This window comes from Homo sapiens, chromosome 15, assembly GCF_000001405.40.
Source record: "Homo sapiens chromosome 15, GRCh38.p14 Primary Assembly".
Lineage (NCBI taxonomy): Eukaryota > Metazoa > Chordata > Mammalia > Primates > Hominidae > Homo > Homo sapiens.
The window spans coordinates 28092857-28106018 of NC_000015.10; the positions used below are offsets into that span (position 1 = coordinate 28092857).

At 56.2% G+C, this 13162-nt stretch overlaps 1 protein-coding gene across 14 annotated transcripts in view, besides 1 other annotated feature; it reads right to left on the reverse strand.

The window, feature by feature from the left end:
* Window positions 1–6459, reverse strand: part of OCA2 (OCA2 melanosomal transmembrane protein) — a 380308-nt gene extending 373849 nt beyond the window's left edge. For all 14 annotated transcript variants that reach the window (XM_047432619.1, XM_047432618.1, XM_047432609.1 and 11 more), the window contains exon 1: window positions 6368–6459. The gene's annotated coding sequence lies outside the window, so the exon portion shown is untranslated. The remainder of the gene's footprint in view (window positions 1–6367) is intronic.
* Window positions 5754–6406: an enhancer, noted in NCBI's record as "H3K4me1 hESC enhancer chr15:28343756-28344408 (GRCh37/hg19 assembly coordinates)". NCBI's record gives its function as "activates a minimal SCP1, AML or CMV promoter by ChIP-STARR-seq in naive and primed H9 embryonic stem cells {active_cell/tissue: H9 hESC(naive and primed)}" and the evidence as "EXISTENCE:reporter gene assay evidence [ECO:0000049][PMID:30033119]".

The following is a 13162-nucleotide window of genomic DNA, read 5'->3' on the forward strand; positions in this document are numbered from 1 at the left end:
GACCTATTAAAGAACATCTGCAAAAGACATAGAGCTAACATTACGCCTAATGGTGAGAAACCTGAAGCTTTCTCAGGAAGACAAGGCAAGAATGTTCCCTCTCACCACTCCTAAACAATTTTCAAAATTCAAAAGTAAACAAAAAAAAAAGTAAAATGGGCAAAGATTTCACTAAGGAGGATATGCACACGGCAACTAAGCACGTGAGAAGACATTCAAGATCGTGAGCCATTAGGGAAATGCAAATTAAAACTATGAGCTATCACTGCACACCTATCAGAAAGGCTGAGATAGAAAACAGGCCAGGCGCAGTGGCTCACACCTGGAAGCCGAGGCAGGCAGATCACCTGAGGTCAGGAGTTCGAAACCAGCCTGACCAACATGGTGTAACCTCGCCTCTACTAAAAATACAAAAATTAGCCAGGTGTGGTGGCGGGCGCCTGTAATCCCAGCTACCGAGGAGACTGAGGCAGGAGAATCACTTGAAACCAGGAGGTGGAAGTTGCAGTGAGCCACTGCACTCCAGCCTGGGCGACAAGAGCAAAACACCGTCTCAAAAAAAAAAAAAGAAAGAAAGAAAAAAGAAAACAGAGACAACACCGCCAGCTGCCTAGGACTCGAGAGGGTGGTTCACTCCTGCATCACCAATGGGAATGTAAAATTGTACAGCCACTCTGGAAAGCAGTTTGACAGTTTTTAAAAAAAAACTAAAATTGCAACTACCAGCCAACAATTGCACTCCTGGACATTAATCCCAGAGAAATGAAACTTTCATTCACACAAAACCCTACACGCAAATGGTCATAGAAGCTATATGAAAAATTGGAAGCCACGCAGCCGTCTGTCCGTAGGGGAGTGTGAAATAGGCTGCGGTGCATGCATGCCGGGAAGACCACGCCACAATCAAAAGGAACAGACAATTCATACACAGCAACGTAGAGGAATCCAGAGTGAAAATCCTCAGTGAAAAAAAGCAAGTTCCAACAGACTATTTACTCTGATTCCATGACTACAACATTCTTGAAACGGCAAAGTTATATCAATGGGGAACAGGTTAGTGGTTGTCCGGGGTTGAGTAGGGGCTCTCGTTCCACCTCACTTCCTGCCTCTTCCCTGGGAGACAGAGGCCTCTGCTCACCCAGAACTCTCCCTCTTTCTCACACATTCCTCATCCAGTTCTTCCAAACACATCCTAACTCCTCCTAGTCCCACCTGGTCATCGCCTCTCATGCAGATGATGGAGCACTCCAATCCCACAGCCTGTCCCTTAGGGGACCCCAACACCCTAGCACACAGCCTGTCTCCTAGGGGACCCCAACACCCTAGCACACAGCCTACCTCTGGGGGACCCCAACACACTAGCACACAGCCCGTCCTCTGGGGTGACCCTCCCTTCACCCCAGCCCGTGGCTGCACTCTCACGGGAACCACAGCTTCAGCCTGGCTTTGCTTTATTGGGCCCCATGCGCTTGACTTGCCTAGGGCAGGGCCACCCTGGGCAGAGCTCCCGCCCGTAGGGACACCTGCAGCTGGCGGGAGAGGGGTAGGGGAGCTGTAAGCCGGCGGCACAGGGCGGAGTATGCCACAGCCCCAACCCACCCCTCCAGGTCCTCCCCGCGATGGCGCCCAGGACCCTCCTTCCAAGCAAGACTCACACCGAAGTCACCAAATTTTAGAAAGAAAAAATAGATAGTTGTGGCTTATTTTTAGAAAAAAAAAATAGATGGTTCAGAGTCGGTGGAACCTTCCAGTCCTCACACTCAACCCCAAATCGTTCGTGTGGGCTACTGCCGGCCCTCTCTCCGGCTCTGCGCTCTTTCTGCCTGCAACCGTGCCCCCGAACTCGGGCCCTGCGAGGTGGGGGTGGGCCCGGGCCCCTCCTGCCGCCCCTGCTGCCAGCACCGTTCTCTCCGAGGCCCTCAACGCCCCGCCGTGCCGTGGCCTTCAGAGCGCGCCAGACGCTCACCAAGCCTGCCCGAGCCCCGCCTCCCGCAGCCGTGCCCAGGGCGGAGTGGGGCGACGGCACCGGTGCCAGGACCGACAGAGGCCAGGGCGCGGCGCCGGGCGTGGTCCTGACACCTGCCCTGCCGGGAAGGGGACGGCGTTCCACGCCTGGGCCCTTCTCCACTGCGTACAGGAGCCTGGGTCACCTGCTCGGCCCAAGAAAAGGCTCCAGGCCTGCGGGTGTGAATGAGCAGCAGCCAAGAGAGCGGTGCTGCCGGCGCTCAAGCTAGGCCGGGTCACCGCCTCCTGCCCAGGTCCAGGCAGCCCCGGCCTTTCCCGCTGGTACTGGCACGCCCGTGGCCGCACGGCTGAGTGCTCCGGGCATGGTGGGTCTGCGGGACTCGGAGCAGAGCTCGAGCTGGCGGATCCCCGGTTGGCGCCCGGCGGGAGGGCAGGAGTGGCCCAGCCAGGCCGCCCTGCGCACTCCCCGCCCGGGTGCGCCCGGGGGACCGCGGCCCTCCCACCCCGCCCCTGTGAAACGACAGCCGGCAGCAGGCGCCGCACGCCGACTTCACAGTGGCGGCGATCAACAGCGTGTGGAAAACAGCTTCTTCGTAAATCTTAAGAACATTGTGGCCGGGCGCGGTGGCTCACACCTGTAATCCCAGCAATTTGAAAGACCAAGGCGGACGGATCACTTGAGGTCAGGAGTTCGTGACCAGGCTGACCAACATGGAGAAACCCCGTCTCTACTAAAAATACAAAAATTAGCCGGGCGTGGTGGCGCGTGCCTGTAATCCCAGCTACTCGGGAGGCTGAGGCAGGAGAACCGCTTGAACCAGGGAGGTGGAGGTGACGGTGAGCCGAGATGGCGCCATTGCACTCCAGCCTGGACAACAAGAACGAAACTGTCTCAAAAAAAAAAAAAAAAGAACATTGTTCTTCGAGTTCTTTAAATATCTGACATAATACCGGCAAGGAACGAGAAGCACCAGGTTTAGGCGCTGAGGTGAAAATTTGGCTGTTGAAAGGCAGTCCCTCTGCAGCCAACTCCCCTCTGGTGGACAGTGTCTAACATCCAGAGAAAACACCCGTCACTGAACGCTCCCCTCCCCACAAAGCGCTGCTTGGCCCCAAATCGTCCCTAATGCGCTGCTCAGCCCCAAGGCGTCCCTCTGAGCGAGAAACCGCCCCTGGCTATGCTTGCAGGGGCCTGGCTGGGTCCACAGGGCATGGCTGTGTCTCTCGGAGCACGGCCCTTCTCTCCGGGGGCCTGGCTGCGTCTGCAAAGGCGTCAATGTGTCTCCGGGGGCGTAGCTTGTCTCCGGGGCGTGGTCGTGTCTCCGGGAGGTGGCTGGTCTCGGGGGCGTGGCTTGTCTCCAAGGCGTGGCCGTGTCTCTGGGGGCATGGCTTGTCTCCGGGGCGTGGTTGTGTCTCCTGGGGCGTGGTCGTGTCTCTGGGGCTTGGTAGTGTCTCCGGGGGCATGGCCTGTCTCCGAGGTGTGGTCGTGTCTCCGGGGGCGTGGCTTTTCGTTGGAGGTGGTCTGTCTGTGTCGGGCGTGACTGTGAGCCGGAGGCGTAGCCGTGTCTCGGGAGCCTGGCGGTGTCCGCAGGAGCGATGCTGTGACCGTTGCATTTGAAGCATTCCTTCTAGTTCCCGGATCCCAGGGAGGGGGCAGGAGAAGCCCTGCGGCCAAGAAGGCCTGAAGAAGCCCGTCCAGGGGTCAGCCTCCTCCTCAGCCGGTCCTGGGCTGAGACAGGGGTGTCCCGCTGAGGGCAGTGTAGGGTGCGGTGCCCCCACCCCACTTCGGGCCTGGACCGAGACCGCGAGTGTGACCGTATATCCCTTCAGGTGGATTTTTCAACATGTGAACTTGGTTAAAAGCTTCTAGAACGTTAAGCCAAACATCGTGGCTTTCCATCCGTTTTCTGTTCTTGTTTGAAAGAGTACGCCTCCTTCCAGCCTGGGAGGAGGGGCGGGGCCCGGGAGAGGGCCTCGGGAGGCCGCGGGTGGGCTCTGCCGAGGGCCGCGTTCGCAGGGCCCCCCGGGACTGGCGGCCCCGCGGCAGGCCAGGCGCACCTCTCGGGGAGAAACGAGCAGCGCCAGCAAACGCGCAGCCGGGCACGCGGCCGCCCAGCCCCGCTCCCAGCCCGGGGCCAGGACCCCTCCCCGCGGCGCCGCTGCCGCAAGCCTCCTCTGCTACCCCAGCTGCGGGCAGTTTGGCCCGGCGCTGTGCCGCTGTAGTTCGGTGTCCCTTCGCCCATCCTGCAGGCCAGCTTGGAAACTGTGTCCCATGCTCCTCGAAACACCGGACCTGCTCCCCGCCGCCCTGCGGAATGCGCCTCCTGGCGCCTCAGTGGGTGGCCGGGCCGAGAGCACAGGCGCGCCAGCCACACCTCCCCACGGGTCGGACCCACACGGACCCCGCCGCGCTCCGCCGAAACTGCGCGGGTCCCGCGGGTGGCCGGCGCAAGAGCCACAGCCCGCGACAAGCCGGCTGCCTGCAGGTCAGTGACAGAACCCCAAATGGAAACTGCGGAAACCCAACAACCAGCGAGTGAGCTGGTAGAGCCAGCGGCCCCAAGGAGCTGAGGGAGCTCCGGCTTGTGGAGTCTCTTCTCACATTTCCAGCATATGGAGAATGCCACACTGGGTCAGCCCCTGCCCCAGATCCTGCCCCCTGGCCTCCAGGCTCTGGGCTTTCCTCCCCTCTGTGGTAGCCTTTATCTCCATTGCAAGCCATCTTTCCACTACTAACAGTTAAAAGCCTCCCCTTTCTCTCTACTCTCCCAAGAAACCTCATCCTCACCTGTGGACAGGTGGCCGCCCAACTCTCTTCTGCAGCTCAAACCACTGTGTCCATCTACCTCTTTGTGTCCCTAGACATAAAGGTACCCAAAACTCCCAGAGTGCTGAAGCCACACCTGGCCTTTCCCAGGGGCCCACTGATCCCACCATCCATCACCCATCACCAACTGGGAATCCCCCCTGCAGCTCACCAGTGCTTCCCTGCCCCGGCCTGGCAACCACACTCAGTGGGAAGGCCTTGGCAGTGGCTTTCTTCAACTCCCCAGCTGCTCCCAACCCCCCAGCCACAGTGATCTTTCCAAAATGCATATGGCCTCAAACTCAAAATATTTCCTTGCTGCCTGCCACTCCAGCATAGAAACGGGGACCCAGGTGACACAGGTGTCATGCCGCTGGGTTTCCAGGGACAGCCAGGACCTCCCCATTCCTGGTATTCCTGATATCCTCAGATCTCAGCTGCTCCAGGGGCTGGAGGTTGCGTTCTTCTCATAAAACAAGAACAGTATAGGCATTTGCTTTTCATCAGTGTAATGAAACTTTAGGGACTTATGATCCTAAATCACATTACACCAATGTGAACTGCACTCAAATTGTTGTAAACTAAATTTGCAGAACAAGCAGTTTTTGTGCAATTCTTTGCAGTCTACTCAGCTCTTTCATCTCTGTGTTCAGGTTCAATCCTCATTAGTTCTTCTATGAGAGATAGTTATCCCCAGATGCGTTCAATGCTCAGCTCCTTGCCCTGGCAGGCCCCGTCCCAGGGTCCTGGATGGCAGATGCCATGCCCGCCCCGCGAAGCTCAGGCTCACCAAGCAAGCAAACCGCAGCTGGTTTAGGTAGACAGCAGCTGCCCACAACTGCTAACAGCCTCGGGTTTCTTTTCCTCAGAATCACTCACCCTAAATCTACACATTGTAGACTGTCACATTGGTCTAAGTAGTGCTCCTCAAAGTGCACTGCACATTAGAGTCACCTGGGGAGCTTCACCGCCGGGCCCCAGGCTCTGATTCGCCCAATGGGAAGGGAGCACCGGGCACTTGTCCTGAGCCCCTGGCCCCTGCCTGGTTCTGCAAACCCAGAGCGTCCACATACCAGGCTTCCTGTGCTTAACATTGTGTCCTTGAAAAGAGCTAGCTGCACTAATGCCCATTGATTTCACTGTGTGTGACCACAGTAAAGAGAAGCAGCTTTGAGGGATTTAGTGTTTTCACTCCAGTGCATTCCATTCTAAGGAAACGCCTGACCACGGCTCATGGCTAGGAGGCCCCGCAGTGCCAGATGCTGCCCTGGAGTTCAAGTGGAACATTTGCTGTCTGAACCTTTCCAAACTCCCCCCACCCATGACCTCATGGCCCACCAGGGGGCGACTTTTTCCTGGGTCGCCTGGCAGAGAGCCGGAGGGGGTGCTCAGGGGGCAGCTGCTGCAGGCCCAGGCGGACTCAGCCGCGCTAGGTCGGCTCCGTCGCACCCGTCTGTGCACACTAACCTTTAGGGGAACTTGCCTTGCTTCCTAAGCCGCGACTCAGCCGGGGCTGTGTAAACCCTCCCTGCCTGTTCCCAGGCTAGTCTGGCTCCTCGCCTCCTTCCTCCCGACCGCGGAGCACGTGCACTTTACCTGCGCACTTGCAGATCTTTCTCCAGGAGTGAGTTTAAGGTCCGCACCTCCGCTCTGGATGGTGAGCGGAGCACAGCCTTCGAAGTAAGAACTCAGAGGGAGCTCGGCGCTCCCGCAGCGGGTCCCCCACCCAGGCACGCCCCCGGCCCGGCCCCGCCCACAGCACTCCCCACTCGGCCCCGCCCACAGTGCGGCCACGCCCGTAGCACGCCCCTCCCGGCCACGCCCACAAAGCTGCCCACATGGCCCCGCCCACAGCTCGCCCGCTCCGCACCCCCGGCCCCTCAGCTCCCCAGCCCCCGGCGGCGCGGGCTGAGAGCAGCTCCGTCTAAGGCCACGCCGCCCCGGCGTCCCCGACAGCGCTCTCCGCGGGGATAGTTTCCAGCTTTACCTCTAAAGAGGCGGCCCAGGACTGCGGACAGGCTTTTCCCTATGAACAAGAACGGGGAAATGCTCAGTGAACATTCTGTTCCCTTCAGAGCTCTCCCAGCGGGCACTGAGAGGCCCTCCAGCTAGGACGCCAAGGTTACACTTGCCGACAGCCCCTCCTGCAGCACAGACACACACACGAGATACACAGACACACACAGATACACAGACACACACAGATACACACAGACACACACACAGATACAGAGATAGACACGATATACACAGACACAGATACACAGATACACATACACAGAGACACACACAGAGACACAGCAATACACAGACACACAGATACAGGACACAGATACACAGATGACACACAAGGACACATGCAGATACACAGACACACATACACAGATACACACAGACACATGCACAGATACACAGAGACACACACACAGGCACAGAGATACACACAGATACACAGATATACACACAGACACAGATACACAGACACACACAAATATATACAGATACTCAGACACAGATACACAGACACAGGTACAGACACACAGATACAGATACAGAGATACATACAGATACAGAGATACAGAGACACACACAGATACACACACGGACACACACAGAGATACACAGACACAGATATACACAGGCACACAGATACAGACACACAGATACACACATGCACAGATACACACAGATACAGAGATCTACACACAGAGATACACAGACACACAGATACGCAGACACAGAGATACACAGATACATAGACACATACAGACACACACACAGATACATGCACAGACACACACGCAGATACACATATACAGATATACAAACACAGATATACGCACAGACACACACAGATACACACACAGATACAGACACACACACAGATACACGCACAAACACATGGAGACAACACAGCTACAGACACACACACAGCTGCAGTGGCCAGGCCCTGCACAGGAATTGGCAGGAAGTAAGAGGCTCCATCCACAGTGTAACAGCAGAGCTGAAAGAGATCTCATGCCTTATAACAGAGCACATTGCACAGCCACAGGGTGGGCCAGGGGTTGCCCTGGTAGCAGGGACCGAGGATGTCCTCGGCATGGCAGGCTCCAGGACACTGAAGTTCCCAGCCAGGGCCCTGACAGCAGGAGAGCCCGAGATCTCTGAGACCACATTCACTGTCGCATGTGCAGACCCCTCAGTTCAGACCGCCGTGTGCGTTAGGTGTGGATATGGCTGGCAAGCAGCCTGCATGGTGACCCCCATCCTTGTGGGATGGCGGCTCCAGGGAGCCTGTGACCACCGATGCACCAGTTCCCGTCCCAGAAATACTGTCTCCTCCTCGCTCATCACTGCACCTGCTCCCCTCCCAGTGCCTCAGGGACACTGTTACAGGGCGGGAAGGGGCTGGGGCACAGAGCCCGGGGGAGGCTCCCTGAGTGGGCAGAAGGCTCTTGGTGTGCACGCAGATCTGTCGAAATGCGGGCTTTGAAACGCCAGCAGGACAGCTGCGGCCAAGCGTGTGGCTCTCTGTGCCTTGCAGGTCACAGTTGTTTTTGTGTAACTGCTGAATGTATGGGGAAGGAGCAACCCTACCCCAGCTCCAGGGATAGACCCTGAGTGGCCACAGTAATGGAGGAAACCCAACTTCCATGCCAGGGACTGGCTCGGGTGAGCCAAATCTATGTGTCCCAGCCCTGGCGGCAGCTGAGGGGTGACAAAGCCCCCCCGCGAGCCGACAGGCACCCACACCCAGCACAGCCACATGCTCACTGTCTCTGGGCTTCTTAGCTGCCGTCAATCAGTCCCCTTGGTTGATTGACCCTCAGGGCCAGATGGGGTTTCCTTTCCTGGTGGCTGAGAGTGAGTGTTGCCTGCAGATGCATCAATGGAAGCCTGTGTGTGACTCGAACAGCCAAACTTGCCTTCAAGGGGCACCGTGCTTCTTCAGTTACAAGTGATTGGGGCCAGTCTCAGAAATGATGTGGTTTCTCCTGAGCATGAAGATTTGGGTCCCAAACAAGATATGATATAGAATTATACTTTTTTGGCTGGCCAAGGAAATTCCAGAAGGAAATCCCAAAATAAGGTCCCCCTAAATGTTCTTGGCAAAGAACAGCACCATTGGAATCAGATATAAAAGCCAAAGGTGGCTATTTCCAAGCAGAGGGCTGGGATGCGGTGTCGCTTTTGTGTACGTGTATGTGCATATTTTATGTTTGTGGGTGACCCAGTGAAGGCACCCTTGGCTTCTTGCCCTGGACAGGCAGTTGTGACTCAGAGGACAATGGTCCAGGAAAGTGAGAAGCTCTCAGAATTGGGCAGGCCTGAGGGTGCAGGAAAGCGCTGCCTCCCCAGACCACAGCATCCAGAGAGAAGAAAGCGCCTCCCAGCCCAGCCCTCCAGCCCCGTCATGGGGAAATCTGTCTACAGCTTCCCTTTATGAATCCTTCCCCAGGGGTCCCCGGGGCCACCTGCTGTGCAGGCCTCTGCAGTCCCCAGTCTCTGCCTGTTCCTGCCATGGTTCAGCCCACAAACCCTATGCACCCACCCCTGCCCGAAGTTGGCTTGATTCAGCAAGCATTCTGTCAAGTTCCCAGATCCTGCGGGTCTGGAATTCAGAAAGGCACAGTGGAAACAGCTCGTCTGCTCCCCACTGCAGCCAGGGCAATGTGAAAGCTGGAAATGACTGGAGTCTGGAGGATCCGGAGGTGCACTTGCTCACTCTAGGGCGGGTCTGTCGGCTCTGCCACGTGGCCCCTGCACCAGCTCTTGGACTTCCTTACAGCATGGCAGCTGGGGCCCAAGAGACAGGAAACAGAAGCCACCAGTTCCTTAGGGCCTGCACCCAGGACTGGCAGGTGTCATTTCTGCCATATTCTATTGGCCAAGCAGTCAAGGAGCCCAAGGAAGGACACAGACACCAGTTCTTGAGGGGAGGAATGTCAAAGAACATTGGAGCCATGTTTTTTGTGTTTGTTTCTGTTTTTGAGACGGAGTCTTGCTCCGTCGCCAGGGTGGAGTGCAGTGGCGTGATCTTGGCTCACTGCAACCTCCGCCTCCCGGGTTCAAGCAATTCTCCTGCCTCAGCTTACTGAGAAGCTGGGACCACAGGTGGGCGCCACCACACCCAGCTAATTTTTGTGTGTTTAGTAAAGATGGGGTTTCACTATGTTGGCCAGGATGGTCTCGATCACTTGACCTCATGATCCGCCCACCTCGGCCTCCCAAAGTGCTGGGATTACAGGCGTGAACCACCGCGCCCGGCCAGAGCCATGTTTTAAAGTTACCACGGCTTTAGGAGGCAGGAGCTGCATAACATGAGGGCATGATGCTACCTTCTGAACTTAAATTCCGGACTTTAAAGACATGTTTAAATGTAATGAGCTGTGGAGTCACAGGAACTCCCATTCATTGCTGGTGGGACCGCAAGATGGTACAGCCACTTTGGAAGACAGTTGGGCCGTTTCTTACAAAACTAAACACTCTTAGAATATGATGCAGCAACCAATGTTCCTTGGTATTTACCTAAATGATTTGAAAACTTATGTTCACCCAAAATCTGCACACGGGTGTTTATAGCAGTTTTATCTGTCATTGCCAAAACTTGGAAACAACCAAGATGCCTTTCAGGAGGTGAATGAATAAACAAACTAGGGTACATTCAGACAATGGAATATTTATTATTCAGAGCTAAAAAGAAATGAGTTATCAAGCCATGAAAAGACACAGAAGAACCTTAAATGCAGATTACTAAGTAAAACAAGCCAATCGGAAAAGGCTGCATACTGCCTGATTCCAACTAGATGACTTTCTAGAAAGGTAAAACTATGGAGACAGTAAAAACATTGGTGGCTGTCAGGAGCTAGTGGGGAGCGGAGGGATGACTAGCTGGAGGGGATTTCAGGGCAGCGGCCCTAGTCTGTATGATACTGTAAGGCGGATACAGGGCATTAAACATTCGTGCAAACCCACAGAAGGCACTGCCCGAGTGAGCCTCGATGTAACCCGAGGCCTCTGGATAATGCTGGTGTGTTGGTGTAACCCATGGGCCAATCTGGTGGGCAGCATGTGCACTGGGGCAAGCTACATGTGTGGGGTGGGTGTATATGGGACTTCTCTGTACCATCTGATCGATAATGTCTTTCTTTTAATGAATTAGAGGAAAATAGAAAGTCTCATTTGTCTGTGGGGAAAAAATCAATTTTGAAAAGTGAGTGGGATGGGCAAAAACTCCAGGACTGACTCAGGAATAAAAACGATTATAAACTTCATCCTGAAGAGGGTGGGTCCTGTGACTGGGAGGGGCTGGCCCAAGTCCCGGGTCATCCTGAGCTGAAGGCTCCATGCGGAGGGGCGGCCCTGGGTGGCAGGAGAATGGGGAGGCCAGGCCCGTGGGGGTGGGAAGAAAGTGGGGTCCTGAGAGCTGGTGCTCCAGCGGGGAGCGAAGCTGGACACGGGAGTCTGCAGCTTGAGGGACGAAGGTGCCTGCTATTGCTTCTGGATGTTGAGTAGTTGGTATCTCTGTGCGTGTGTGTTTCCATTTGCATTTGGATCCCATGAGACATGAGGCCCAGGAGGTCCTGCAGACAAAAGCCTCCCACCCTGTGGAGCTGGCCTCCATGCAGAATGGACCCATTCGAAGACCTTTTTAAAACGATCTTTTGTATTTTCTTGTTTTAGAAACGGGGTCCCTCTGTGCAGCCCAGGCTGCAGGGAGGGGCATGGTCATAGCTCACTGTAGCCCTGAGCGATTCCCTGTTTGAAGTGTTGACTATCTTGACTATCGGGGAGGAGTGAGGTCTGCGCGATTCGGCCTGGAGGACCCTGAGTAGGACTCACTCGCCAGACTGGCTGCCAGTGGGCCTGGCCCTTCCTGACATGGTGAGCCATCATGGCATGTCCCTGGCAGTGACAAGGAATGTCCTCAGGCCCCGACCCTCCTGTCCAGGCCACCCAGGGCAGGCCTGTCAGGGGCCTTCCTTGTTCCAATTTTTCAGAGGCCCAGCGCTCTCCTTCCGCATCCTGCCCACCTGCCCAGCTGCAGGCAGCATGGGGAGGGGGATGGGGTGGGGAGAGGGTAGGGAAGACGGTGTGTGTGAGGGTGAGTGTATGTGAAGGGGCCAAGATTTATGTGTTTAGGAGGTGTGTATGTCTGTGGGGGGTGTGTGTGACGGGCTGTATGTAAGGGATGTATGTGTGTGGGGGGTATATGTGTATGTGTATAGGGTGTACGTGTGTTTGGGGTTGGTGTACGTGTGGGTGTGTGGGTGTGTTTTGGTGTATTTGTGTCTGGGGTGTGGGGGGAGGGTGTACGCATGGGTGTGTGTGTACATGTGTGTGGTGGGTGTGTGTTCATCTGTGTGGGGTGTGTGCATGTGTGGGGTATGGGAGTGTGTGCGCATGCGTGTGCCTGGTGTGTGTGGGGTGTGTGTGCATGTGTGTGTCTGGTGTTTGAGTGGGGTGTGTGCATGTATGTCTGGTGTGTGTGGGGTGTGTGCATGTGTGTCTGGTGTGTGGGGTGTGTGTGCGTGTGTGGTGTGTGTGGGGTGTGCGCATGTGTGTCTGGTGTTTATGTGGGGTGTGTGCATGTGTCTGGTGTGTGTGGGGTATGTGTGTGGGGGGGTGTATGGGGGGTGTGTGCATGTGTGTCTGGAGTGTGTGGGTTATGTGCGCATGTGTGTGCATGTGTGGGTGTGGGGGTGCATGTGTGTAGTGTGTGTGGTGTGGGGGTGTGGTGTGGGTGTGTGTGTGGTGTGGGGGTGTGTGATGTGGGTGTGTGGGTGTGGTGTGTGTATGGTGCGGTGTGTGTGTGGTGTGGGGTGTGTGTGTGCATGTGTGTCTGGGGTGTTTGGGGTGTGTGCATGTGTGTGGGATGTGGGGGTGTGTGTGGTGGGGTGTGTGCGCGCATGTGTGGGGTGTGTGTGCGTGTGTGGGGTGTGTGTGCATGTGTGTCCGGGGTGTGGGGTGTGTGTGCATGTGTGTAGGTTGTGTGTATGTACGTGTGCTGTGGGGGTGTGTGTGGTGTGGGGGTGTGGTGTGTGTATGGTGTGAGGATGTGTGTGGTGTGTGTGTGGTGTGGGGGTGTGTGGTGCGTCGGGTGTGTGTGCATGTGTGTCTGGGGTGTGTGTGTGCATGTGTGTGGTGTGTGCATGTGTGGTGTGTGGGGTGTGTGTGCATGTGTGGTGTGTGGGGTGTGTGTGCATGTGTCGGGTGTGGGGGGTGTGCATGTGTGTGGTGTGTGTGCATGTGTGTCTGGGGTGTGGGGTGTGTGTGCATATGTGTTTGGGATGTGGGGTGTGTGTGCATGTGTCTGGGATGTGGAGTGTGTGTGCATGTGTGGGGTGTGGGTGTGTGTGTGCATGTCTGTGATGTGTGTGTGCATGTGTG